At 53.4% G+C, this 26,517-nt stretch overlaps 2 long non-coding RNA genes, 2 other non-coding genes and 2 pseudogenes across 6 annotated transcripts, besides 1 other annotated feature; 3 read left to right on the top strand and 3 right to left on the bottom strand.

Annotated features, from left to right (window-relative positions):
* The first annotated feature begins 436 nt into the window (after nucleotides 1-436).
* Nucleotides 437-1,907, top strand: FAM138A (family with sequence similarity 138 member A). Its single transcript, NR_026818.1, has 3 exons — nucleotides 437-797; nucleotides 1,037-1,241; nucleotides 1,344-1,907. It is a non-coding gene; the product is annotated as a family with sequence similarity 138 member A (long non-coding RNA).
* Nucleotides 1,100-6,744, bottom strand: MIR1302-2HG (MIR1302-2 host gene). Its single transcript, XR_007065314.1, has 3 exons — nucleotides 5,851-6,744; nucleotides 5,425-5,542; nucleotides 1,100-2,350 (listed from the first exon to the last, which is right to left on the bottom strand). It is a non-coding gene; the product is annotated as an MIR1302-2 host gene (long non-coding RNA).
* MIR1302-2 (microRNA 1302-2) lies at nucleotides 6,015-6,152 on the bottom strand. Its single transcript, NR_036051.1, has one exon. It is a non-coding gene; the product is annotated as a microRNA 1302-2 (primary transcript).
* A 403-nt stretch (nucleotides 6,745-7,147) lies between the features above and the next one.
* WASH7P (WASP family homolog 7, pseudogene) lies at nucleotides 7,148-22,156 on the top strand (annotated as a pseudogene). The gene is made up of 11 exons (NR_024540.1): nucleotides 7,148-7,197; nucleotides 11,627-11,780; nucleotides 18,152-18,250; nucleotides 18,457-18,603; nucleotides 18,776-18,912; nucleotides 19,150-19,285; nucleotides 19,463-19,660; nucleotides 19,753-19,911; nucleotides 20,571-20,722; nucleotides 21,480-21,548; nucleotides 21,689-22,156. The product of NR_024540.1 is annotated as a WASP family homolog 7, pseudogene (transcript).
* Nucleotides 15,172-16,020: an enhancer, noted in NCBI's record as "H3K4me1 hESC enhancer chr1:20498-21346 (GRCh37/hg19 assembly coordinates)". NCBI's record gives its function as "activates a minimal SCP1, AML or CMV promoter by ChIP-STARR-seq in primed H9 embryonic stem cells {active_cell/tissue: H9 hESC(primed)}" and the evidence as "EXISTENCE:reporter gene assay evidence [ECO:0000049][PMID:30033119]".
* Nucleotides 19,082-19,149, top strand: MIR6859-1 (microRNA 6859-1). The gene has a single exon (NR_106918.1). It is a non-coding gene; the product is annotated as a microRNA 6859-1 (primary transcript).
* On the bottom strand, nucleotides 22,109-24,644 carry DDX11L1 (DEAD/H-box helicase 11 like 1 (pseudogene); annotated as a pseudogene). The gene is made up of 3 exons (NR_046018.2): nucleotides 24,291-24,644; nucleotides 23,797-23,905; nucleotides 22,109-23,297 (listed from the first exon to the last, which is right to left on the bottom strand). The product of NR_046018.2 is annotated as a DEAD/H-box helicase 11 like 1 (pseudogene) (transcript).
* Nucleotides 24,645-26,517: the final 1,873 nt, after the last annotated feature.

Here is a 26,517-nt window from a genome sequence, read left to right as displayed (position 1 = left end):
AGTGCCTGTTGGGGGATGTGTTGGGGAAGGATGACTTTTCACATATGGCTCATTGTGTCGGGATGATTTCGTTGTTAAATAAGCACCTACAGGATGATTTCACATTCCATACTTCTAAGTTTTTATAATTTAAATTCTTTCCGCCAGGCTGGGTTTTTTTTTTTTTCCAAACTTTAAATCTGTGGCTAGAATTGGTTTGATTTACATAATCCTGCCCCTGAGATTTAGCCCCACCCCTGAGAGCCCCCTCAGAGCCACCCACAGCCAGGACACCTCTGCTGGCCTCCCCTTCCCCAGCCTTCCAACTTGTGGCAGGCCCCTGGCTCTGGCCTCCCCCTATATGGGAATGAGCCAGCTGCACCGCTGCTGACAGTGGCTGGGATAATCCTCCCTGAGCTGTTCCAAGGATTAGTCCTGCTGCCCTGTGCCCAGCTCCCACACAACGGGGTTTCGGGGCTGTGGACCCTGTGCCAGGAAAGGAAGGGCGCAGCTCCTGCAATGCGGAGCAGCCAGGGCAGTGGGCACCAGGCTTTAGCCTCCCTTTCTCACCCTACAGAGGGCAGGCCCTTCAGCTCCATTCTCCTCCAAGGCTGCAGAGGGGGCAGGAATTGGGGGTGACAGGAGAGCTGTAAGGTCTCCAGTGGGTCATTCTGGGCCCAGAGATGGGTGCTGAAGCTCCCACGCCTGCCTGTGAAAATGGAGTCCTCTCTCACCTGGGAGAGCCAGGTGCTGCCCCGAGAAGGATGCATTTATGGCTTCGTGAAGTCTTTCCTGACCCCCGATGCTGCTGACTATAGGTAAGTCTGAGCAAATCTGGGGGAGCCTCATCTTGGCATGAGAAAGAGATGGCTTCTTCTAAGCCCACTGGCCGTGATCCCAGGATTATAACACATTCTGGCTCAAGTCCAGACTATTTGTAGAACACAGGAGATCCTCCATGAGAGGTAGTATAATATAGAGGATATGTGTGCTTACTAAGAGGCTGCCTGTCTGACCTTGGACAAGTTGTTTTTATTTATTTATTTATTTTTTATAGAGACAAAGTCTCACTATGTTGCTCAGGCTGGTCTTGAACTCCTGGCCTCAAGCGATCCTCCCACCTCAGCCTCCCAAAGTGTTGGGATTATAGACATGAGCCACTGCACCTGGCCGACCTTGGGCAAGTTCTTAAACCCTTCAAAGCCTCATTTTTCTCCAATCACAAAAGGGAAAGATGGTAATATTTTCCCCACCAAATTCTTGTAAGTATTAAACATTGTATATGTATTTTGAACACGATTAAGCTCTAAACACTTGTTAGGAAGCAGGACTGGCATTTGAAACAAACAGCTCTTTTCCCACAGGTCGGATGCCCTCACAGAATTGAGATTATGTACGTAAAACACCAGGTGCCTAACCCGGCACAGAGCAGGAGGGCTAAGCGTGACATCCAGCACGTGGTCAGTGGAATCCAGTATTCCTACCCACCTCTCTAGTCTCCCCTCCACCCCTCTCCCTTTCAGAGGCACCAAGCTGCTTGTGGTCTTGTCTATTCCCACTCCCTGCCTGACTGAACATTTTCTCCACCTCCTGATCATCAGCAGCAGAAACTGGCTGCTCTTCCTCCTGGGTAGACAGCCAGACTGTATTTCCCAGCTGCCCCTGCAGTGAGATGTGGCCATCGGAGCCAGCATTGGCCAATGGACTCTGCATGGGAGTGACGCATGCTGCCTCCAGGCTTGTCCCTAAAACCTCCCACGTGTCCTCCGCCTGCTCTTCCCACCTCCAAGGAGCACGGCAATTGTGGAAGACCCAGATTAGTGATGGCAGAACCATAGATGGGAGGAACCTGGGTCCCTGACTTAAAGTATCATGGATTTGGATGTTCCCTTAGTGAGAAATAAACTTCCATTGTGTTTAAGCCTTTATTTGTTTATAGTTGGTTACAGCAACTGCCTTCTTTTAATTAAAACACTCCTGCTGCTTCATGTTGCTGGAATGCTTGTAACCCTGCCCTGCTTCACCAGGGTAACTCCTACTTGGCCTTTAAGTTTATCTCTGCTGTCACACCGTCCAGAAAGCCTTCTCCCAGCACCACAACCCCTCCACCAAGGGTTAGGTGTCTCCAGCAGATGCTGCACAGCTGGCTGCCCTTTGCCCACCCTCCCCTTCTTTCTCATAGAATCCTAGGACTCCTCTGTATCTAGAAGGAGTTGTGTGGTCCAGTGCTGGCCAAGAAGATGTGAGAGCAAGTCGCTGGGTGGAGATTCTTAGGAAAACTTCTTAAAAAGAACGAGACTGGGCTCCTTTCTGCCTTTTACCATTTTTGTGTATGCTTGCCTTCTTCCCACCTGGGACTCTGATGCAGCACCTGTGAATGGGCACACATATTACAACTCTTAGGCTGAAACCCACGTTCTCAGGCAGAGGTCTCTTGTGGGCATTTAGTGCTATAAATGTCTCTTTACACACTGCTTTAAATGCGTCCCAGGTCTTAGGGTATATACCCAAAGGATTATAAATCGTGCTACTATAAAGACACATGCACATGTATGTTTATTGTGGCAGTATTCACAATAGCAAAGACTTTGAACCAACCCAAATGTCCATCAATGACAGACTGGATTAAGAGAATGTGGCACATATATACCATGGGATACTATGCAGCCATTAAAAAGGATGAGTTCATGTCCTTTGCAGGGACATGGATGAAGCTGGAAACCATCATTCTGAGCAAACTATCACAAAGACAGAAAACCAAACACTGCATGTTCTCACTCACAGGTGGGAATTGAACAATGAGAACGCTTGGACATGGGGCAGAGAACATCATACACTGGGGCCTGTCAGTGGGTGGGGGGCTGGGGGAGGGATAGCATTAGAAGAAATACCTAATGTAAATGACAAGTTGATGGGTGCAGCAAACCAACATGGCACACGCATATCTATGTATCCAACCTGCACATTATGCACATGTACCCTAGAACTTAAGTATATAAAAAAAAAAAGAAAAAAAAACTTTCACCTTTTTCCAAAGTGTTGGGATTATGGGTGTGAGCAACCACATCTGGTCCTTTTTTTTTTTTTTTAATGGAGGTGAAATTCATATAAGTTTGACCATTTTAAATTGAACAATCAGTGGCATTCAGTACATTCACCATGTTGTGCCAACACTATCTCTATGTAGTTCCAAAACATTTTCATCAGCTCAAAATGAAACCTTGTACCCATGAAGCAGCCACTTCCCATTCTCCCCTCCCCTTAGCCCCTGGAAATCGGCTTTCTTTCTCCACGGATTTACATATTCTGTATATTTCCTATAAATGGAATTACACAATAGGTGACCTGTGTCTGGCTTCTTCCACTTAACCTAATGCTTTTGAGGTTCTGTCACATGGTGCCATGGATCAGCTCTGCCTTCCTTTTTATGACTAATACTCCACTGTATGTCCATATCACCATTTGTGTATTCACTCATTAATCTATGGACACAAGCCTCATTTTTAAGCACTTCAAATATGTTAACTCACTGAATCCTCACCACAAAGACAGATTCAGTTATTACATATTGACAGAGTGAAAACTGAGGCACAGGTAACATGCCTAGGATCACGTGGCTATGAAGCAGAAAGAGGACTCCAGCCGAGGCAGTCTAGTCCCAAAGTCCTTCCCTTCCTAGTAACCACTATGCTCTCCTGCCTCTCAGAGAACAACCCACATGGCACAACACGAGGGCTAAGCTGTCTGGTCTGTCTGGTGAAGCTTCAAATGCTGTTCATTTCCGATAAGGGGAGGTTCCTGGGCTGCAGAGGCTTCCTAGAGGAGGAAGACCATGTAAGGTCTAACTCAGGGCAGGTCAGGATGGTGTGAACTCACTCTGAACACAGTCACCGATGGGTGTTTATGAAAACTGGCTCTGGAACTCCCACAGGGAAGGTTCTTATCTTTGCGTGCACAACACAGAGCCCTCTGGGTAGACTTCTAGACCCAGGCCTCTTTCAAATACATTAGAAACCTCAGCAAGATAAACTATTTTCTGTCTGGCTGCATCTGTCTATCTGTTTAGAGAGCAGGACATTTCCATCCTCCTCTCTCCAGGCATCCTTGGAAGTCTTTCCCACAAGCAAGACATCTTGGTGAAATCTAATGCTGCGGAGGGAAGTGGTTTTCAGGAGAGAGGAGTCTGTTCCCAGAACTGTAGCACAAAAGCTAGAGGCTGAGTAGGAACATCTTAAACTAAGTCCTCAGTCTTATTTCCAGTTTTCTTCCTGTAGATCGGGGCTTAGGACACCCTGTCACATTTTCTTCACTCCTCCACCAGGAATTCCTAAAGTCCATGCTCTTGGATCCTGGCAAATCCAGGAGGCTGGGGGATGTGGCAAGCTTCAGCAAGACTGCCTGGGACCAACCCTGCAGCCTTAATTCCCAGGCCCGCTCAGCCCAGCTGGCCAGCAAAGGCAGGCAGAGCTTCTGTGTCCACACATGAGAATGACCTGCAGCTGTTCTTTGTCCAGGCTGAGGTCCAGGATTCCCACTGCAGCTCCTAGGAAATCTTTAAAATTAGGTCGGGGATGAGCCTGTCAGTAGATTAGGTAGGGAACTTTTATGAAGTTGAGGGTGAACCATCTGGAGGGTGAACTGGCTGGTGTGATTCTAGAACTGGGGGTGGTGCCTAGCAGTGCATTTGTGAGAAGACACAGCCAGGCTTGGTATATGATGTGGTGTGTGTGTATATTCACAGGCATCGTGGAGCATATACACTTTTTTTGTGTGTGTTGAAATAAACCTTACAGATTACAAAGTACTTTTTTTTTTTTTTCTGAGACAGGGTCTCTCTCTGTCGCCCAGCCTGGAGTGCAGTGGTACAATCATAGCTCACTGCAGCCTCGATCTCCCAAGCTCAAGTGATCCTCCCGCCTCAGCCTCCCATGTAGCTGGGACTACAGGTGTGTGACACCATGACTGGCTATTTTATTTTATTTTTGTAGAGATGGAATCTCACAATATTGCCCAGGCTGATCTCAAACTCTTGGGCTCAAGCAGTCCTCTCGCGTCAGCCTACCAAAGTGCTAGGATTACAGGCATGAGCCACCACGCCCAGCCAGATTACAAAATACTTTGACATCTTTTCTCTACAGCCCTCAAAAGGAGGCAGGGCAAGCACAATTAAATCCCATTACAAATGGGGTGACTGAAGCTCCATTCATGGCTTGCCCAGGGTCACACAAAGAATGAATAGCAGATCCCTGAGCCTGTGTGCTTCCCTCTGTGCCAGGCTGCTTTACCCAGGCATGGGTGCACCTTGTGCATGGGACATTTCTCCTTTGTTGTGTCCTGAGTACCTTAAGCCACTCAGATATTGCTCAGGTGGAGTGAGGGGAAAATGTTTTCAGGTTGTATTAGTCAAAACAAAATACCACACACTGGGCGACTTTAAAATCATACATTTATCCCTCACAGTTCTGGAGGCTTGGAAGTCCAAGTTCAAGGTGGCAGCTGGACGGGTTCCCGGTGAGGGCTCTCTTCCTGGTTTGCAGACAGCCACCTTCTCTTCGCATCCTCACTTGGTGGGAAAAGACAGAGGAGAGAAAGAGAGAGAGAGAAAAATGAGATAGCGAGAGAGAGAGAAATGAGATAGAGAGAAATGAGAGAGAGAGAGAGAGAGAGAGAGGGAGACACAGAGACAATGCTCTCTTTTCTTACCAGATCTATAATGAGGGCCCCACCCCATGACCTCATCTAACCGTAATTACCTACCAAAGGCCCATCTCCACATACCATCACATTAGGGGTTAGGGTTTCAACATAAGCATTTGGAGAGGACATAAACATTCTGTCTACAACATGAGTGGAGATCCATCTCTTCTTTACCTCTGGTAAGGGGACCACACGCTGCAGCCAGCGAGACAGTGGCATGTTCTTGTTACAACTCGATCTAACTCCCCCAGAAGAGGAGGCAGGGAAGGCGGACAAAACTGGGAGAGGGAGAGAGTGTTAGGAAGAGAGTAGGGTGGCCAGAGGCAGCAAATAAAATATAAAATGCTTAATTCTGAATCTCAGATAAACAACCAATAATGTTTTTTAGCATAAGTATGTCCCAAACTAAGCTTGGGACATATTTATGCTACGAAATTATTCGTTGTTTATCTAAAATTCAAACTAGCTGGGCATCCTGTCTTTTAATCTGGCAACCCTAAAAGGCAAGGGCCAAAAATGCCGGAGGCAAGCCAACGGATTCCAGGAGGGACAACTGCTGGACTTTGGACTGATGATGCTCTTTTTATATATTTAACTTTTTAAAAAAGCCTCTTTTCTTTCTTTTTACCAGCTTTTCACTAGCTTTTTAAAAATTGTGGTAAAACATACATAACCTAAAATTCACCGTCTAAACCATTTTTCAGCATACAGTTCAGTGGGATTAAGTAGATTCACACTGTTGTGCCGCCATCACTACCACTCATTTCCAGCACCCTTCCATCACCCCAGCCTGAAACTCTACCCATTGAACACGAGCTGCCCAACTCCGCCTTGCTTCCCCATTCCTGGCGACCACTGCTTCTGTCTCTGTGAATTTTGACTATTCTAGGCACTTCACAAAACTGGACTCATACGATATCTGTAGTTTTGCGTCTGGCTTCTCTATTGAATTCTTAAAGGGGGGTGGGAACTAAGCAGATCACAAGGGAGCTGCCCACAGAGGTAAAGACAAGGTCAGGTAGGCTGAGAGACGCAGGAAAGCGGGTCAAGGCGTAGGGCTGGAGGGCAGGGGCGGGCCCTGGGCGTGGGCTGGGGGTCCTGCCCCGGGGCGCACCCCGGGCGAGGGCTGCCCGGAGGAGCCGAGGTTGGCGGACAGCTTGGCCCTGAGCTTGAGGGGAAGGCAGCGATGGGACAAAGGACGGAGGTCTAGGAAGAGGGTCTGCAGAGCAGAAAGCACGGGTAGGGGCGGCCTGACGCTCGGAAGACAACGCATGGGAGCCGTGTGCACGTCGGGAGCTCGGAGTGAGCGTGAGTTCCGTGCCCAGGCCCGCGACTCGGCCCGACAGGACAGCGCTCCGGGTCGACGGGGTCCTGGAGCCGCGCTCGGGGAGGGCGCAGTGGAGGGCGAGCGGCGGCGTTAGGACCCGGAGGCGCGGGCGGACTGGGGGCGGCGGGGCTAGGACCCAGCGGCTCCGGCAGAGCGGAAGCGGCGGCGGGAGCTTCCGGGAGGGCGGCTCGCAGGTGAGGAGGCGTCCGGGGCCGCGGGAAGTAGGGTCGTGGGGGCCTGGCGGGGCGAAGTAGGGGACCCGGAGGGGCTGGAGGGAGGCGGGCGGGAGGCCCGGGACCGTTCCTGACCGAGAAGCCTGCGCCAAGCTGGTGTTCCGCGGCCGCTGCCCGGTGCCCGGCTCCACTGCGAACGCCGCCGCTGGGCCCCGACCGCCCGGGAGGCGTCTTGGGCTCGCCCCGGAGCTTCCTCCCTGGAGCCGCGCCCTGCACCCGGCCTTGCCCGGCCCTAGCAGGGAAGCCAAGGCTTGTGGGGCGCAGGGACCCGGGCTCTGCGGGGTCCCGGTTCCGCCTCCCCACTCCTGCGTCTTCCCGCCCCTGCCGGGTTCTGGGAAGCCTCGCGCGGCTCTTCCGCAGCTGCTGCCCGCCCGGAGCTCCTGGTCCCTCGTAGGGGACCCCACTTCTCTGACACCGCGTTGGGTTCCCGGGGCCTACAGCGAGGCTTGTAACTCCGGGAGAGACCCTGGAGCGGGGTGTGGGAGAACGGTCTGGAGGAAGGGCTCCGAGCACTTCGAAAGTATAAACCGCGGTCCCAAAGAGGCGTGCTGTGTCTGCATTTTCCTGGGAGTGCACGGTTTACATTCTCGAAAGCAGTGCTGTCGACTAGAAATATTGAGCGATACACATGTACAAGTTTTGTCACTTAAAAAGAATTTGAAAAAACTTCATAGATGCAAAAAAAAAAAAAAACCACCATTATTAAAGAATACTTAGGTATTTGTGGAATGCATTGAAGAGTTAACAAAATGGATAGGCAGGAAATATCGCAGACCTAGAATGAATTACAGTTACCCACTGTGGAACTGAGGAGCTAGGGTTTCTCATAAAACTCCCTGATAGAAGACGACTTTTGATAAATTTTTTTTTCCGCCAACAAAATCCCCTGTCTTCTCAACTAGTTACTGTCTGTCCACTAAATAAGAGGTGGTCCGTCACTTCTTCAGATGAGCAACTACAGGCTTTTCAAAAGATAATTGCTAATCAACCCCTTTGTGCCTGGGTTTTCTTATTTGTAAAAATAGATACTACTACCTAACTCCAAAGTGTGTGGTGAAGACAAACAATTGGGGTGATGTATACTAAAGTAACGAAAGTGTTGACCACACACTACGGGCTGGTTAGTGTTAGATTCCCTTGTTTTTCCCTCAGTATCAAAAACAGATCTAATTTAGGTTTACATAAAGACAAAGTATGAAGATAAGGTGACTTACAGTTGGTACTACTAACAAAATGTTTGGGCTAAGATTTGCATTATTGCATGAAAACAACAAAACATATCAATAAATAACAAAAAGCTTGGAATTCAGACGACAGATCCAAGTCTGGGCTTGATCTCAAGCTAGTGTTTTGATGTTGAAAAAATGTTATTTGGTCTTTCTAACCCCATTTCCTTATGTAAAATAGGGGATGATGATAAATTCACTGATAATAAGAGTTAAATGAGATTCTTGAGGAGTCAGAATGGTTCTAACATGTGTAGGTATTATTAGCAGTCATACTGTAGCATAAGAAAATACCGTCTGCTGAAAGAGGGACAATAAAGATTATCTACATGGTCATCATTTAAAAGCTACCAGATATAGGAAGAAGGGGCCATAAAATGATAACGTTATGATGATTAATTTTGATGCTTAGGTCAGAGTCCATTCTAGGATATCTGCTGCCCAAAAACAGCAGAGACTCATTTCTTTGGAATCACAGGACGCTGAGTGAGAGGAAAGAAAAAGAAAAGAAATATTTAAGTCACATATGTGATTTCTAAAAGTAAAAAGAAACAGATGAAATTAGTGATATATTTTTAAAATCCAGTATATCCCAAATATGGTTATTTTAGCACGTAATCAATATAAAATAATAAGATATTTTACATTCTTTTTTTCTAGCCTTTGAAATTTGGTGCATATTTTACACTTATGGCACATCTCAATTCAGACTATCCACATTTCAAGTGCTCAGTGGCTGCATGTGCCTGGTGGCTACCATATTGGACAGCACAGGTCTAAGGATTTCATTCCTGCCACAAGTCCAAACTCCTAGCTTTAATTTTGAGTGTTTTTAACAAACTGGCCTCTGTTTATCATTCTTTCTTCTAGTACTTCCCCAAGGATGATTGTACCCTCAGCACTCAAGACCGCTTGCGGTTCCCCTACACACTTTTTGTTCAAGCTGTTTCTTTTACCTGGAATGCTGTCTTTGCACCTTCTTCCTGGACCTGGTTCACCCTCGTTGCCTAGGCTGGAGTGCCATGGCGCGATCTTGGCACACTGCAACCTCCACCTTCCTGGTTCAAGTGATTCTCCTTCCTCAGCCTCCCGAGTAGCGGGGATTACAGGCATGCACCACCACGCCTGGCTAATTTTGTATTTTTAGTAGAGATGGAGTTTCACCATGTTGGTCAGACTGGTCTCGAACTCCCGACCTCAGGTGATCTGCCTGCCTTCGCCTCCCAAAGTGCTGGGATTACAGGCGTGAGCCGCTGCGCCCGGCCGAGAGGCACACATTCTGCTAAGAGCTTTTTCCTGACTCCCCTAACTCCAAGAGGGATTTGTCACTCCTTAGCTTTGTACCCATGACTGGAGTAGAATGAATTTAATTTGAGTTTAGTTGTTTTTGAGACTCTCCCTGGCTAGTGTAGTGTCTTATTCGTCTTTGTTGTGATCATGGCCTGCACCTAACAGATGATCAGTAGATGTTTGCAGACAGAAAGTAAACCACTCATCAGGTGTATTCAGTCCCATTCTTGAACGGGCTTGCTGCCTCCTTTTTGAGGAGATCTGTGTATGTACTCTTCTTTCACGCATATGTGTGAGCAAACACACACACACTAACAAGAAATTCATCTGAAGATGTGCACAGGAAATATCTTGCATCTTTACCCCCTTTGTGATCTTACATATGGGAGAACTGAGGCACAGAAATAAGTTAGGACAGCCAGCAAACTTGCATCAGTATAAATACAAAGAAGGGGAGGGAGGAACATGCTTGAAAGGGGTGTGCTGGTCTCAGAGGGTTGGGTTTCTCAGTTGGCTGGGCATCAGCTGGCCATGCTTTAGTTATTTGATGGGAGGAAAAATAAGTGGGAGGTGAGGAGTAACTCCTGGGCTCTGATGAGTATTCAAGGCAAGTACAGATCTGGAAAGCCTGTATGCAAAGGAGGAACTCACTGAAAAGTGCTGGCCTGAGGAGGGCAGAAGGGAGGGCTGGGGAAGCCAGCAGCGGGAGCAAAGGAGTAGGCTCCAACTGGGTGAAGATGTTGGTGTGGTGCGTTATGTAAAATATACAAATTATTATTGGAAATAACCACGTCTCAGCAGTGCTAGTTCTCAGTTTGGAGAATGGGAAATCGAAAGGATCAGATTCAGAGACGGCAACTTACTCAAGGTCACAGCATTTTAAACCCAAGTGAAATCTCCTAGGCCCTTCATGCCACACTCATCCATCCCTACCTACTTGTGTTGCAACCAAGGGCCCCACTGTAGTGCCTAGGGGAGCAGGTCTAGGGCACAGTGCCAGGCCTGATTAATGTCTTCCTTACCATTTTCCAGTGAGGGGCTGTGATTAGGCCTATTTATAGGGGCCTGGTCCCTTAATATTCTGCCTGGTGCATCTCTTGCCAATCAAATCAGTGCTGTCTGCAGTGTGATTGCTGCTTTAGTGGCACCAGGGAGAGGAGTTAATTAAACCCAATATAAATAGACTCTGCCCTCACTTTGCAATTCCAGGAGTGTTTTTCCTTCCTGTCCTCCACCCCCACAGGCACCTCTTTCCTCTTGTCCCCCTAAGCTCTAGCCTGGGTGAGCAGGGCTGGATACTCCTATACCTAGAGTCACTAGCCACTGCCCAGTCTGTTTCAGGAGCAGGCCTCAGATTCCTCAGGGGTTAAAGTGGGAAGAACCCGTGTGTGCACATTTTTTGTGCTTTTCCAGAACTGTGTACCATTTGGCAGTTGATCAGGCAATCTCCCCTGCTACCCCATTTCTACCCCTTTGTTTCCAGCCTCTTTTTTCCTCTGCAACCAAGGTTTCTTGTTTATCCAAGGTGGGGAGCTGAACTGAGACAAGGTATGGAAAGGGTGCCTGGCAGGTAGCAAGCACCTTGTAGGGGGTCAGAAATGTTGCACCTTCTCTGAACTCCTCCATTGACCCTACAGATTCCCCAGTCCCGGGCCCTGCCCTTTCCCTCATTCACTCAGCAGGCATCAGCAGAGTCCCATCTATGCGCTCCTGGCCTCTCAGCAAATGCTCTGTCCCCTACTCCCCTATCTGTGCAGGCTGAAGCTATGTGCATAGTTGGGATGAGGGCTGTGTTGTCTCAACACCACGCTGCCCTGTGGTGGGGGCGTGCCGGTGGTCGTGGGTGGCTCTGACGCTCCGGCTCCGACCCACAGGCACCATGACTCCTGTGAGGATGCAGCACTCCCTGGCAGGTCAGACCTATGCCGTGCCCTTCATCCAGCCAGACCTGCGGCGAGAGGAGGCCGTCCAGCAGATGGCGGATGCCCTGCAGTACCTGCAGAAGGTCTCTGGAGACATCTTCAGCAGGTGGGTGCTGCCACTCACCCCCACCTGATGAGAGGGCCATCCCTGTCCTGGGCAATCCCAGCAACACACCCTCTGGGAGCAGCCCCCTTGGGGAATCCCGGTCCTGGGGAACCCATCTGGCTTCCCTGTGTGGGAGGGGCTGAAGTGAGAGCCCAACTTGGAAGCTTTTACTCCTGGGAGTCCGAGAGCTCACTCCCTTCCACCCCACTTAGCCTCCTGGTTTCCTGTGGTGGCTCTGCTCTCACAACTCATGCTTTTCCTCCCATTGGAGGGCCTATTCCTTCACGTTTTCCTGCAGCCAACAAATATTTACCCAGCAGTGCTCGTGTGCAAGGCAGTGTGGGAATCTCTATATATCCAGCCACGGATAAGGCAACATACCTCTCCACCTGGAGCGCACATTCTGGCAGGAGAGAAAGACCTAAATAAGCAATAGATGATTAGTTCTTCAATAACAGTTGTGACAAGGTCTATTGATAATATTTTGTAATCACTAATATTCATATAAACCGTGCACAACCATTGATTTGAGTGCATTAACTCACACTTCATGAGCAGGCACTGCCGTCATCTCATTTTATAGATGAGGAAACTGAGGCACAGAAGGGCTGAGAGACCTGGCCTAGTGACAGAGCCAGGATTCAAAGCCATAGATCATGGCCCCGGGTTATGTAGGTTATTACTGCATCTGTTCAGGGGAGATGGGGTACTGTGAGGCTCGTCATGGGAAGCCTGGCTTGGTCTCAGGTCAGGGAAGGCAGACGTGAGGAAATGACATTTATGGTAAAGTCTGAGGGTTGAGTGGGTAGGTTGGGAAGAACATTCCAGAAAGAAGCACATGAACTACAGCCTGGAGGTGGAGGACCTAAAAGGAAGCCAGCATGGCTGGAGCACGGAGTGGCCATTGAGGGAGGCGAGCTGGAGGGCTGCAGCTTCTTGTATTGGCAGTGCTGACCTCGCACAGTCCTTGGGCTCCAGTGACTTCACTCAGTGTTTATCTAACATGAGTGAGTGAATGGTGTTTGCTCTTTTTTTGGTAAAGGTCCCAGGGGTTGTCGGGTACACAGGTCCTGTCTTTGGCCATAAGCAAACTGAAATGAGGCTTGGTCTCCTTCCCAGGATCCCACACCATGCCTCACATGGTAGACCCCAGTGGGAAGTATGTGACTGCCTGACTCAGGTGCCTCTCGTGGTCCAAGCCATCCCTGCCCTGTCCCTTCCCTGGTTGTCGCCAGACCTGGAGCCCCTGCTCCTTCACTTTGCAGCCTCCTCTTCTGTCACCAACTGGGAACCCACCTCTTCCTGAAAGTCCTCCCCCACTGACTCACCGGCTTGCCCCGAGTTTGTCAAGAATGTCCCAGTAACCAGGGGACACACAGTGAAGTGACTGAGGGGTTACCTTGGAGTTGATGCCTTGGCTCAGATCCAGCTCCCCTGTTTTCTTCCTCTGTAACCTTGGGCAACCCAACCCCTCTAAGCCTCGGTGTTCTCATTTGTGAAGTTGTGGTAATAATGGTAGCTTCCTGGTAGAATTATTTTAAATATTAAATTAATCAAAACATGCAAAGGAATGGAACAGTGCCTGGCACCTAGGAAGCCTTCAGGAAATGCTATCTCTTCCCTGTTGATAATCTTGACCCGTACACTGCCTTTGGTTGCCATTCATAAACCTGCCACCAATAGTAACAAAGTGCTGGATGCACCTTTTGTGCTTATCTTTGTGCTAAATGTGCCCGAGGGACACCTAGGGAAGAGGATGCAGGTCTTTAAGAGCCATCAGCTCCAGATTATGGCCACCCCATGTCCAGCACTTAGAATGGAGGCCAAAACCATTCCCTCGGAAATTGTGTTTCCTTGCCAAGATGGGGACTGCGTGGTTGCCCTTCTCTGAGGGCAGCGCTGGATTTTTGGCGTCTTTCCTTTCCTGTCCTGGTACTTGGCACCTTGTAGACAGTTGCATGTCCCCTGCCCAGGGATGGGATGAGGAGAGGGCAGGAAGGCATTTCCTGGGTAGTGGAGTGCTGCGTTCATTGAGTGTGGGTTCTCCAAGCTGCTGGCACAGCGCAGGGAGGGCCAGATGCCTCTCAGGAGCCTTGGGCCTGAGTCCTGGCTCCCTCACTCCTGGGTTCCAGGTCACTGCATCTGTCTCTCCACCATGTGCTCCACCTCGTGCTGGACCTTAAGAGATACCAATTATGTGGCTGCCACTGTGTCCTAGAGGCTGGAATGGGAACACATAGGGCGAGATTGATTGTTAATTGCTAGCATGAACCGCGTGGGCTTCTCAGGGTCTAGAGTGGAGAGAAATCGGTAAGAATTGGTGGCACGCCTGTCAGAACTCCCCAGACCAAGCTAAGCAAAAATTAACCAATCAGTAGAGCAGCCTTCGGAGTAAGGGCTAAAATGATGTCCTCAGGGCCTGGTTTTGCTTTCCTTCCATGTCAGTTTGCTTCTTTGGGTCTGGCTGCATTCCCAGACAGGCCATGCTCTCGTGGTAGCAAGGTGACATGACACAGGGTCAGGTCCAGCAGGAAAGAATGCTGTCCTGTGTCCCCACTTCCTCCAGAAGCCACACTCACTCATCCCACCTGGCTTGGTCCTCATGTCTATCCCAGAATCCATTAATGGGGCCAGGGGACTATGACACACCACTTGGCTTAGACTGAGGAGCTCTGTGGGCAGCCCCACCTGAAGCTCTGGGACTAAGCCTGCGAGAGAGATGGATTCCCCAAGGGAAATGGGGCCATTGCTTGAGTAAAAAGGAAATAGTTGCTGAAGAGGAAAACCACGTGCTTACTCCACATAGGGCAGACTCCTGGAAGAGGGGGGCAGGGTAGGGAGGTGGATATGCAGGTTGCCCTGGCAGGGTCTGGAAATGGGGGCTGCAGGCTTGGAGGGAGGCCTCAGTGTGGCTTGGAACGTGGTGTATGGTGGTCTGCCGCGAAGGCCGGCCTGCACAGGGGTGGGAGGGGGGTGCTTCTGCATGGGAAGCACAGACAGCGCTGCCTCTCCCTTGCACTCAGCTCTCGGGGCATGAGAGGCTGACTTTCCGTGAGCCTGTGGGCCAGGCCTCTTTGAATGGGGCTGAGGGAGCTTTGCCCTGGTTCCTTTGTGTCCCCACGGTGCCACGGGAGGCTCCCTGGCAGGGTGTGGGGCAGGGCAGTGAGTGAAGAGTTGGGATGAGTGAGTTAGGGCCCACGGATTACTCAAGACAGGACTTCAAGTTGATTCAGGCGTGTTAGGGAGCTGTGATTGGATTTTGAGCAGGGCAGGGATGGGACAGAAGAGTTTGGGGAAGGTTCCTCAGGCATCCGTCACGGAAGGGACAAGAAGGGAGAGAGAGTGGATGCCAGGGACACCCAGAAGCTGTTATTGTAGTCAGGATACGACAGGGGTGAGGCTACAGACAGGGGACTTGCAAGCAGGGAGGGCAGGGTGAGACATTCAGAGGAAACGACGACAGGAAATGGTGACAGATAGGGAACGAGGATGAAGGGAAGGGAGAGCCAGTGACGACTGGCAGTGGAGTGGGGAGCACCGCCACCTCTCCTCCTCCACTTGCCCCTCCTGTGGCACTGGACAAGCTAGTGGGCTTTTCGTTGTCCATGGGCTTTTTCGGTGGGGATGTGACCAGCTTTGAACCCGTCCCCTTAAACATGCTCCTCCTGCACGGAAGAGACAGGGGCAGGGGAGAGACTCTCTCCCCACCACCCGGCTCAGGCCCCAGCACAGCCCGGCCTCTGGCCTCACTGGCGTCTGTGCCCAGTGACGCAGGCAGGTGAGCTCCTGGCAAATTAGCATTGCAGGCTGTGCTCTCTCCTCCTGCTCTGCTGCAGCTGGGAGTGTGCAGAGACTGGAGGGGATGACAGTCACCCTCTGTTTTCTGTGGTGGCTCTGTTTTCTGTGGTGCTGGATGCACCTCTGTTTTCTGTGGTGGCTCCAAGAGAGTGCACGGTCCCTGCTGATTGAAAGAAGGATGAAGGGCAGAAGAGGGGCGGGGAGCTGTGTGCCCTAAGATCTCATTGCCTTTTTATGCCGATTAACATGCTTTTAGCCCCTACTGAGCTTATAGTTAACAGAAGTTTCCAGGTCTTTCTTCACCTGAACTGTGTCTAAAGCAAGTTCCCTCCACCTTCTGTATTTATACGCTTGATTTTTAAAACCTAAATGTTGGGCTTCACATTTGTTCCTTGTAAATTTCATCTTGGTGATTGCAGTCTACCCTCTGGCCTTTAAAAATTGTCTGAGCCTTGATTCGATCATGAAACCAGCTTACCCTTCCCCTGTGTGCTGGCCCCAGTTTTCTAACCAGGTGTTGAATGAACTGGATGGACTCTGCCAGATCCCTCCGTGCAAGGCTGGAATCAGTCCATTGTTCAACTGTGCCCTTTGGGGCTGTGGTTCATTTGGCTCTGATTTTTCCTATATGTTCTCTCCTCCAACCCCCATAGCTCCATCTTGTCTACAAGATTTTGTTAGAAGCCGTCAAAATCCTGCTGACTCGAGATGCACTGTGCTGCATGTTTTCCCCGGGCACAGCAGGCTAATAATCCTGTTACAAAGAGAAATGCTGTACATTTCGAGCAGTGCTGGCCCCTGGGACTCACCGCGGCCTTTTCTAAGTGCTTACAGACTCTCTGTTTAATAATCCATTCCAGAAATTTTCCAGGGCTCATTGTTGAGCTTGGTGTTCGCAACTTTGAGTGATCAGCCCTTCTCCTTTGTGGGAGCACCAGGACAGAGCAGCCTTTGTCCCTCCCCAGTCTCAGTTCCCTCCCACTGCCCCTGTGGACCTCGAATGCAGAGCTTATGCACCTACCGAAGGTCGTGTCAGCACCCAAGGCAGAACGAGGCTGCCCTGGGAACTAGGGTCAATTAAGACAGCTTGTGCTGGAGGACCCTTTACAGCAGATGAAGGCCTCTCCCCAGCCAGAAAAGATGGAGCACACGCTGGGTGGTGGTCCCGCTTCCTCACTGGAAGGAGATGGTGCTCTTCTTTTTTCTTTCTGAATTGTGGCCACCTTCATACCAGTCTGTCATGGAACACTTAAGCCGCTTGAGTGCCTGCTGGTACTCCCAGCCCTGCCATGCCTGAGCCCCCTGCACACAAGGAGCCAGGAGTAATCAGGGCAGACCCTTTAGGGCACGGGGACTTCTGGATTGTGAAATTGGCTCTCTGGGGGCCAAGGCCTTCTAACGTTGGTGGAAGTGGCTTTGGCTTATTGGGTCGGATTCTAGGCCATTCATTCCAACCTTTAGAGACATCCCAGCTTTCCCTAGCCCAGAGTCTGCAGCCCCTCCACCATCCCACATCCTCCCCCTCCCTTTCCTCATGAACCCCAGTCGCGCCTCTGCCTTCTCAAACCCCTCCACCATCCCACACCCTCCTCCTGCCCTTCCTCATGAACCCCAGTCGCGCCTCTGCCTTCTCATCCCTGCGCACCACACAGGCTCGCTCGTGCCCGGTGAGTGCTGAGGCTGCTCTGCACGTGGAGTGTGGCCCTGTGGGCAAGGGCTGGGCTCTTGGAGGTAGGGGAGCTACAGGGGCGACTGGGAGGAGGATGTTGTGTTACACACGCATCAGAGTTAACTTTGCAGTGAGAGCGGCCTTGCTGCGGCCAAAGAACATGGAAAAGCATGAGTGGGGTGATGTGCCTTAAAGCATCAGACACTTGGGCCTCGGGCATCAGGAGCCAGCCACAGGGATGTCTGGGGAAATGGCGTTCCATGAGATGCAAGCACACAAGAATGCACTTGGCACATCTGGGGAACAGCAGGCAGCTGATATCACTGGGCCCACCCCGCACCAGGGAGGATGGAAGCAGGTGAGGAGCTAGACCACACTGAGGCGGTGGTCGGGACTCGGGGTTTGCTCAGTGAGCCGTTCAGTATGTGCAGGGGCAGTTCCCCGTCTGAATTTAGGTGACGACACTCAGGTCCAGCCTTGCCAGTCTCAGCCTCCGGTCTCCGTTCCCCCTCTGCAGAGGCCACATTGTCTGCTGCACGTGATCATGAGGGGTTGTGAAGTGCTTGCCCCATCAGTAGCCATGTGTGCATGTGTAAATACCATCCTCTGTGTGCCCTGGAGGCTGTCCTTCAGATAGCATGTACAGGTGGCAGCATAGGGCCTGTCCCTACTGAGAGTGCAGGGAACTCAGCACCGTCAACTCCTCGACCCTGCAGGTCAGATTATCCTTGTAGAGGCCCCCTGGATGGCACCAAGATCGGCCCTGGCAAGTAGGTGACCCTGACTTCAGAGCCCTTGCCTGAGGGCCTGGCCTGGCAGCTCTGCTGTTAGAAGCAGGAGGTGTGCAGAGGGTGGGGAGCAGCCCAGCCTCTGTGATCTTCTCCATGGCAGGATCTCCCAGCAGGTAGAGCAGAGCCGGAGCCAGGTGCAGGCCATTGGAGAGAAGGTCTCCTTGGCCCAGGCCAAGATTGAGAAGATCAAGGGCAGCAAGAAGGCCATCAAGGTAGTCCCCATACCCCTGTGTCCTGAGGCTACTGGGCAGTCCCTCCATTTCCCCGTGCCTCTGAGGCTGCCCAGTCTCTGCCCTGCTGCCCACCTGTACCTTGAGCTTTCTTCTCGCCCAGGCTTCCAACTCCACCCTCTCCTGCCAAGCAATCCTAGCCCTCTGAGCCTCTTGGGGCCCCCTCAGACTTGTCCCTGTGTCCACAGGTGTTCTCCAGTGCCAAGTACCCTGCTCCAGGGCGCCTGCAGGAATATGGCTCCATCTTCACGGGCGCCCAGGACCCTGGCCTGCAGAGACGCCCCCGCCACAGGATCCAGAGCAAGCACCGCCCCCTGGACGAGCGGGCCCTGCAGGTCTGCTGGCCGCGCATATAGCCTGTCACACACCAGGAGGACTGGATACTGGGGAGGAGCCGGGGCCACCATAGGGTTCTGTCCCCCAGAGGAGGCTGACTGGGATGGGATGGCAGCTGATTAGGCCCAGCACCAAATATTCACCATCCCTTGGCCATCCTGGCCCTCTCAGGAGAAGCTGAAGGACTTTCCTGTGTGCGTGAGCACCAAGCCGGAGCCCGAGGACGATGCAGAAGAGGGACTTGGGGGTCTTCCCAGCAACATCAGCTCTGTCAGCTCCTTGCTGCTCTTCAACACCACCGAGAACCTGTATGGCCAGAGGGCAGGGCCGAGGGGTGTGGGCGGGAGGCCCGGCCTGGCTTAGTGGGGACCCAGGGCATCAGACACAGGTACAGCACATAGGCCAGGAGCCAGGGGGTGACGGGTGGCTCGGCTCGGGAGGCCTGGGACCCCACAGTGCACGCTGTGCCCCTGATGATGTGGGAGAGGAACATGGGCTCAGGACAGCGGGTGTCAGCTTGCCTGACCCCCATGTCGCCTCTGTAGGTAGAAGAAGTATGTCTTCCTGGACCCCCTGGCTGGTGCTGTAACAAAGACCCATGTGATGCTGGGGGCAGAGACAGAGGAGAAGCTGTTTGATGCCCCCTTGTCCATCAGCAAGAGAGAGCAGCTGGAACAGCAGGTGGGAGGGGTGGGACAGAGGTGGAGACAGGTGCAGTGGCCCAGGGCCTTGCCAGAGCTCCTCTCCAGTCAAGGCTGTTGGGCCCCTTATTCCACCCATGGGAGGTGCACACAAGGTCTTGTTGGCTGCCCCTGCAGGTCCCTGTCACCTCTCACATGTCCCTGCCTAATCTTGCAGGTCCCAGAGAACTACTTCTATGTGCCAGACCTGGGCCAGGTGCCTGAGATTGATGTTCCATCCTACCTGCCTGACCTGCCCGGCATTGCCAACGACCTCATGTACATTGCCGACCTGGGCCCCGGCATTGCCCCCTCTGCCCCTGGCACCATTCCAGAACTGCCCACCTTCCACACTGAGGTAGCCGAGCCTCTCAAGGTAGGTGAGCTGGGTTCTGGGATGGGAGCTGGGCCGGGGACCTCCCTGGTCACACACCTTCTTCCCTAGACACCCCACACTTTGTGTTTCAGACCTACAAGATGGGGTACTAACACCACCCCCACCGCCCCCACCACCACCCCCAGCTCCTGAGGTGCTGGCCAGTGCACCCCCACTCCCACCCTCAACCGCGGCCCCTGTAGGCCAAGGCGCCAGGCAGGACGACAGCAGCAGCAGCGCGTCTCCTTCAGGTGGGAGCAGCTCTTTGAGGCCACCTGATTTCTGGCGTGCTCAGTGCACTCGGGTGGATTTTCTGTGGGTTTGTTAAGTGGTCAGAAATTCTCAATTTTTTGAATAGTTTCCATTTCAAATATCTTGTTCTACTTGGTTCATAAAATAGTGGTTTTCAAACTGTAGAGCTCTGGACTTCTCACTTCTAGGGCAGAGGGAGCCTGAACAAGTGAGGCTCTGGGTTCCCCATTCCTAATTAAACCAATGGAAAGAAGGGGTCTAATAACAAACTACAGCAACACATTTTTCATTTCAGCTTCACTGCTGTGTCTCCCAGTGTAACCCTAGCATCCAGAAGTGGCACAAAACCCCTCTGCTGGCTCGTGTGTGCAACTGAGACTGTCAGAGCATGGCTAGCTCAGGGGTCCAGCTCTGCAGGGTGGGGGCTAGAGAGGAAGCAGGGAGTATCTGCACACAGGATGCCCGCGCTCAGGTGGTTGCAGAAGTCAGTGCCCAGGCCCCCACACACAGTCTCCAAAGGTCCGGCCTCCCCAGCGCAGGGCTCCTCGTTTGAGGGGAGGTGACTTCCCTCCCAGCAGGCTCTTGGACACAGTAAGCTTCCCCAGCCCTGCCTGAGCAGCCTTTCCTCCTTGCCCTGTTCCCCACCTCCCGGCTCCAGTCCAGGGAGCTCCCAGGGAAGTGGTTGACCCCTCCGGTGGCTGGCCACTCTGCTAGAGTCCATCCGCCAAGCTGGGGGCATCGGCAAGGCCAAGCTGCGCAGCATGAAGGAGCGAAAGCTGGAGAAGCAGCAGCAGAAGGAGCAGGAGCAAGGTGAGCGGGCCCTGGAGCTTGCAGTCGGAGGGCCTTGGGCAAGATCGCCTCCTCCCCTCCAGCCCTGAGTCCACCGGGTGCTTTCTGCCCACCCCCTGCTCTTGCCAGCTGGCCCCTGCTTCCCCTAGGGCACATGCTGGAAGCCCTGGGCCGCCACCAGAGGTCCTCAGCCCTCCTGCCTGGGCTATGGCTCCTTCCTGGTTTGGGAGCCATAGTGGAGCTTTCCTCTCTAAGCTCACCCAGCTCAAACTGACAGGAGAATCTTCTTCGACTGCCAAGAGCGGTCCAAGGCAATGGTCAGCCACTGCAGCCTCCTGAGATATTTTTAGAGACTGGACCTGAGGCCTCTGGAGGCTACTGATGATGCCTGCTGTGAACGCAGACACTGGTGTGATGCGATGCCTGCGCCTGCAGCGGCAGTGCCCTGGGCACTATGGTTTTGAGCTTGTACCCAGCGCTGCTTTTGCCTTGCTCTGTGACCCCAGGCAAGCTGCCTCACCTCTCTGGGCCAGTTTCCCCATTGTACAGTGGTGCTGCACACCCTGGCCCTGGCCCCGAGGTGGCTGGGAGGTGGCTCCTCAAACAGCCGCTGTCTCATCAGTGCCCGGTGCTGGGTCAGGGATCGACTGAGGCTCTGAGCTAACTGGGAAACACAGTGGCCTTGGAGGGCTGGGGAGTGTCATGGGGGTGGGGACAGGGAGTCACCGGTCGCATGTGACTGAACTCTTCACCCCAGTCTGTGGCTTTCCCGTTGCAGTGAGAGCCACGAGCCAAGGTGGGCACTTGATGTCGGATCTCTTCAACAAGCTGGTCATGAGGCGCAAGGGTAGGAGGCAGGGCCGCTGCCCGCCCTGGGCCAGCACCTTGTAATTCTGTCCTGCCTTTTTCTTCCTGTATTTAAGTCTCCGGGGGCTGGGGGAACCAGGGTTTCCCACCAACCACCCTCACTCAGCCTTTTCCCTCCAGGCATCTCTGGGAAAGGACCTGGGGCTGGTGAGGGGCCCGGAGGAGCCTTTGCCCGCGTGTCAGACTCCATCCCTCCTCTGCCGCCACCGCAGCAGCCACAGGCAGAGGAGGACGAGGACGACTGGGAATCGTAGGGGGCTCCATGACACCTTCCCCCCCAGACCCAGACTTGGGCCGTTGCTCTGACATGGACACAGCCAGGACAAGCTGCTCAGACCTACTTCCTTGGGAGGGGGTGACGGAACCAGCACTGTGTGGAGACCAGCTTCAAGGAGCGGAAGGCTGGCTTGAGGCCACACAGCTGGGGCGGGGACTTCTGTCTGCCTGTGCTCCATGGGGGGACGGCTCCACCCAGCCTGCGCCACTGTGTTCTTAAGAGGCTTCCAGAGAAAACGGCACACCAATCAATAAAGAACTGAGCAGAAACCAACAGTGTGCTTTTAATAAAGGATCTCTAGCTGTGCAGGATGCAAACGTCTCGGGGTCAGTGACTGCCTCCTGCCCCTGTTGGTCCCTAGGCAGTGGGGGCAGAAGCTCCCAGCTGACCTGTTTCTCTGGGATGAGAGGGAGGAGAGAAGGGCAGTCAGCAGGGGCAGCTGTTGCAGATGGGAGGAATAGTCTCCCACAAAAAAGGTTTCAGTGACAGACACGGGGTCTCTAAAAATAGTCATGCTGAGAGCCTAATGGCCCTTGGCACAATTGCTGGTGTTGGGGTAGAAGATGTCTTGGAGTTTGCTCAAGTGGTTGAGAGGGAGGGAGGTGCCATCGACTTGGAGGAACTGGCACCAAGCCAGGGAGATAGAAATCCAGGCAAGGCTGTGGGGCAGGTTAGGGAGCAAGGCTGCAGGAATGACTCAGGAAGAAGGTGGGGGAGGTGACAAGCCCCCAGGCAGGGGCCCTGTGGCCATGGGGATCTTCTTAAATTGAGACTAGGGGGTGAATAGTCCAGGGCAGCTAACTTTAGTTATTATAGAAAGGGCAGTAGCAGATGGGTCTGCTCCGTCTCGCTTCTAAGAAGGTGGGCAGGACAAATGGCAGCCTCCTGCAGAGGCCCAGTGAGAAGCCTGGCCCTCGGCCACGCAGGATGGAAGACAGATTGGATTCCACAGAGGGGAGCTGCCCTGGGAAGATCTCACGGATGGCCAGGACCCACCATTTCTTCGGGATTCCCCTGTTTTCTCCAACGGGCACTAATGCCTGTGCCTGGGTCCTGGCAACACTCTGGACTCCACACTCTCCTGGGTTTCACCTTTGTAGCAGGATCCCTGCAGACCAGGCCCATGACAAACACCGTCTCCAGCGGGCAGAGCAAAGGAAGGGCACAGCGCCAGGCAGTGGTGCAGCTGCCTGTCAGGAAGAGGCCTACTTCTGGTGAAACTGGGCAGACAAAAGGCAGTGAGAAATGTGATCTCGGGGTGGTGGAGGCTCTAGGGAAAGGAAAAGGCAGGAGTGAACTTCCACACAGCAGCAATGGCAGAACCAAAGGTGGCTTTGACCTCCACCAGGGCTCAGATCCAGGCCAACAGCGTGTCCAGGACAGGGTGCCGGGTGTATCACTGGTCCAGGAGCACTATGCTGGCAGAATCCCTTTGGTGCCTGATGGCCCTGCCTTCGTGGGAACAGAGGCTAAGGCTTTGAGTTACAGCTGCCTCCCCAACAGTGCATCCCCTTCTCCTTCCTCAGCCTCAGGTAGGAGACAGGGCAGGCAACCTCACTTTCCTCTTCTCCCCTTCTCCAGCCCCTGTCTGTCGACCCAGCTGGAGGCAGCCAGGCTTGCCTATGGACTGGTTGACAGCCTTCATGCACAGGTTCTCCACCAGAGCCTTTCTTGGGGGCCCCTGGCCTGGGCTCTGAGCTGGGAGTGAAGGGGATGACCCATGCAGACTGTTTGCTGCTTGTAGCTTTCCCTGGGAAAGACTCTGCCAGGCCTTGGAGCCAGACTAGGAGGCTTTATAGGCCACCGCAAGCAGCAGGGCTCCAGATGACATCACAGGGAAGATCAAGAGGGTGTGGAGGGGCATCGAAGCCTCTCCAGGAGACAGGAGACGCCGGCCCCGTAGAGCCCTAGGGGCGACGCCACTCCCACTCACTGTCTACTCTCCTCTCACCTCTGCAACACTGGGGACACTCACAAGAGTGTGATCCAAGTCGGCCGTCGTCTTCTGCAGCTCTGGAGACCTGATGCTGGGGAAGGGCATGCCTGGCATCACCACACACCTGGGGGGAGACAGGAGCCTGGGGCCGGTGGGCCCACACATCACCAGCTGCTCCGTTCTACCATTTCTTCAGCCCTCTTGGCTGTGCCTGCGGCTCTGCCCCTCCCGTCTCTGCACCTACCACCCAGAGAGGGCTTGTTGAGCTCAGAGATCCCACCTAGGCCAATCCACTGGGTTCTGTGGCAGCGATGGCCTGCCTGATCTTCCACCTGCTCTCCCAGGGCCAAAGCCAGACCTGCTGAGCCCCTCCCTCCAGCCGGCTGGTCTGAGCAGTCACAGCCCGGCTTTGGGCTCCGATGGCAGCAGACGGCAGGTAGGGGTCCAGCTGCTGGAGCGAGGGCCGGCCACGTATCACAGCCAAGGAGATGAGCACAAGCACTACTTACTGGCCTAGGTTGTGAGAGAAGTTGATGCTCTCACTCATCTTTCCTCCAATCTTTCCCCTATGCCTGGTTGTGGTATTAAGTTACATGCAGACAACAGGGGCCAGAAGATGAACAATGGCCCATCCCACTCTAGGCATGGCTCCTCTCCACAGGAAAACTCCACTCCAGTGCTCAGCTTGCACCCTGGCACAGGCCAGCAGTTGCTGGAAGTCAGACACCTGCAGATGAAGACCACAGCATCAAGACCCTGTGACCTCTCAAAGGCCCGGTGGAAAGGACACGGGAAGTCTGGGCTAAGAGACAGCAAATACACATGAACAGAAAGAAGAGGTCAAAGAAAAGGCTGACGGCAAGTTAACGAAAAGAAAAATGGTGAATGATACCCGGTGCTGGCAATCTCGTTTAAACTACATGCAGGAACAGCAAAGGAAATCCGGCAAATTTGCGCAGTCATTCTCAACACCGGCCATGCAGCAAAATCATCAGTGGAAATTTAAAAAAATACACATGGCCAGGCCCCAGCCCAAATCACTAATAAGAATCTCCAGGGCTTCACCTGTTAGACTGGCAAAAATCCAAAAGTAAACACTTTGTGGAGAAACAGGCATTCCTAGACATTGCTGGTGGGATACAGAACAGTACAATTCTGATGGTAATCAGTTCACAAATTAAACATATTTATTTTTTACTTTTAAACCCAGGAATCCCATATTTAGGAGTCTACTGAGACCAAACAGCATATGCTCCGGGTGTTTCCCTATAATCCGCCAGTACTGTTGGAGCAAGAGGGCCCGGCAGTGTCCCCAGCTGCCAGCAGGTGGGCGTGCTGCCACTACACCTTGAGCAAGAGGACCCTGCAATGTCCCTAGCTGCCAGCAGGCGGCGTGCCACCACTATACAGTAAGCAAGAGGGCCCTGCAGTGCCCCGGCGCCAGCAGGGGGCGCTGGCCACCACTCTAAGCAAGAGAGCCCTGCAGTTGCCCTAGTCGCCAGCAGGGGGCGCCCTGGCACAGCACCGTGAGCAAGCGGGTCCTGTAGTGCCCGGCTGCAAGCAAGGGGCGGTCGATCCCGGCTTTTCGGATTACTGAGGTTCTACCCGTCTCTGCGCCGCGCCACCGTGACGTGAGTTTCTGCGCGTGCACGGCGCCACCCTCCCCCCGCCCCAGCCCGGCGCCGTGCGACTTTGCTCCTGCAACACACGCCCCCCCAACCCCCGCCCGTAGGCTTGCGTCTCTGCGCCTGCGCCACGCCTCCACCCCTGGACGCGCTAGCATGTGTCTCTGCGCCTGCGCCGGCGCGGTGCGCCTCTCTGCGCCTGCGCCACGCCTCCACCCCTGGACGCGGTAGCATGTGTCTCTGCGCCTGCGCCGGCGCGGCGCGCCTCTCTGCGCCTGCGCCACGCCTCCACCCCGACGCGCTAGCATGTGTCTGCGCCTGCGCCGGCGCGGCGCGCCTCTCTGCGCCTGCGCCGGCGCGGCGCGCCTCTCTGCGCCTGCGCCGGCGCGGCGCGCCTCTCTGCGCCTGCGCCGGCGCGGCGCGCCTCTCTGCGCCTGCGCCGGCGCGGCGCGCCTCTCTGCGCCTGCGCCGGCGCGGCGCGCCTTTGCAACGGCGGAGTTGCGTTCTCCTCAGCACAGACCCGGAGAGCACCGCGAGGGCGGAGCTGCGTTGTCCTCTGCACAGATTTCGGTGGTACTCTGAAGGCGGAGCACAGTTCTCCTCAGGTCAGACCCGGGCGGGCGGGCCGGCTGAGGGTACCGCGAGGGTTAGGGTTAGGGTTAGGGTTAGGGGTTAGGGTTAGGGTTAGGGTTAGGGTTAGGGTTAGGGTTAGGGGTTAGGGGTTAGGGTTAGGGTTAGGGTTAGGGTTAGGGTTAGGGTAGGGTTAGGGTTAGGGTTAGGGGTTAGGGTTGGGGTTGGGGTTGGGGTTGGGGTTGGGGTTGGGGTTAGGGTTAGGGTTAGGGTTAGGGTTAGGGTTTAGGGTTTAGGGTTAGGGTTAGGGGTTAGGGTTAGGGTTAGGGTTAGGGTTAGGGTTAGGGTTAGGGTTAGGGTTAGGTTAGGGTTAGGGTTAGGGTTAGGGTTAGGGGTTAGGGTTAGGGTTAGGGTTAGGGTTAGGGTTAGGGTTGGGTTAGGGTTAGGGTTAGGGTTAGGGTTAGGGTTAGGGTTAGGGTTAGGGTTAGGGTTAGGGTTAGGGTTAGGGTTAGGGTTAGGGTTAGGGTTAGGGTTAGGGTTA

Source organism: Homo sapiens, chromosome 1 (genome assembly GCF_000001405.40).
Source record: "Homo sapiens chromosome 1, GRCh38.p14 Primary Assembly".
NCBI classification, from domain to species: domain Eukaryota; kingdom Metazoa; phylum Chordata; class Mammalia; order Primates; family Hominidae; genus Homo; species Homo sapiens.
The sequence above is the reverse complement of the archived record's forward strand: the minus strand, read 5'-3'. Positions and strand labels throughout refer to the sequence as shown.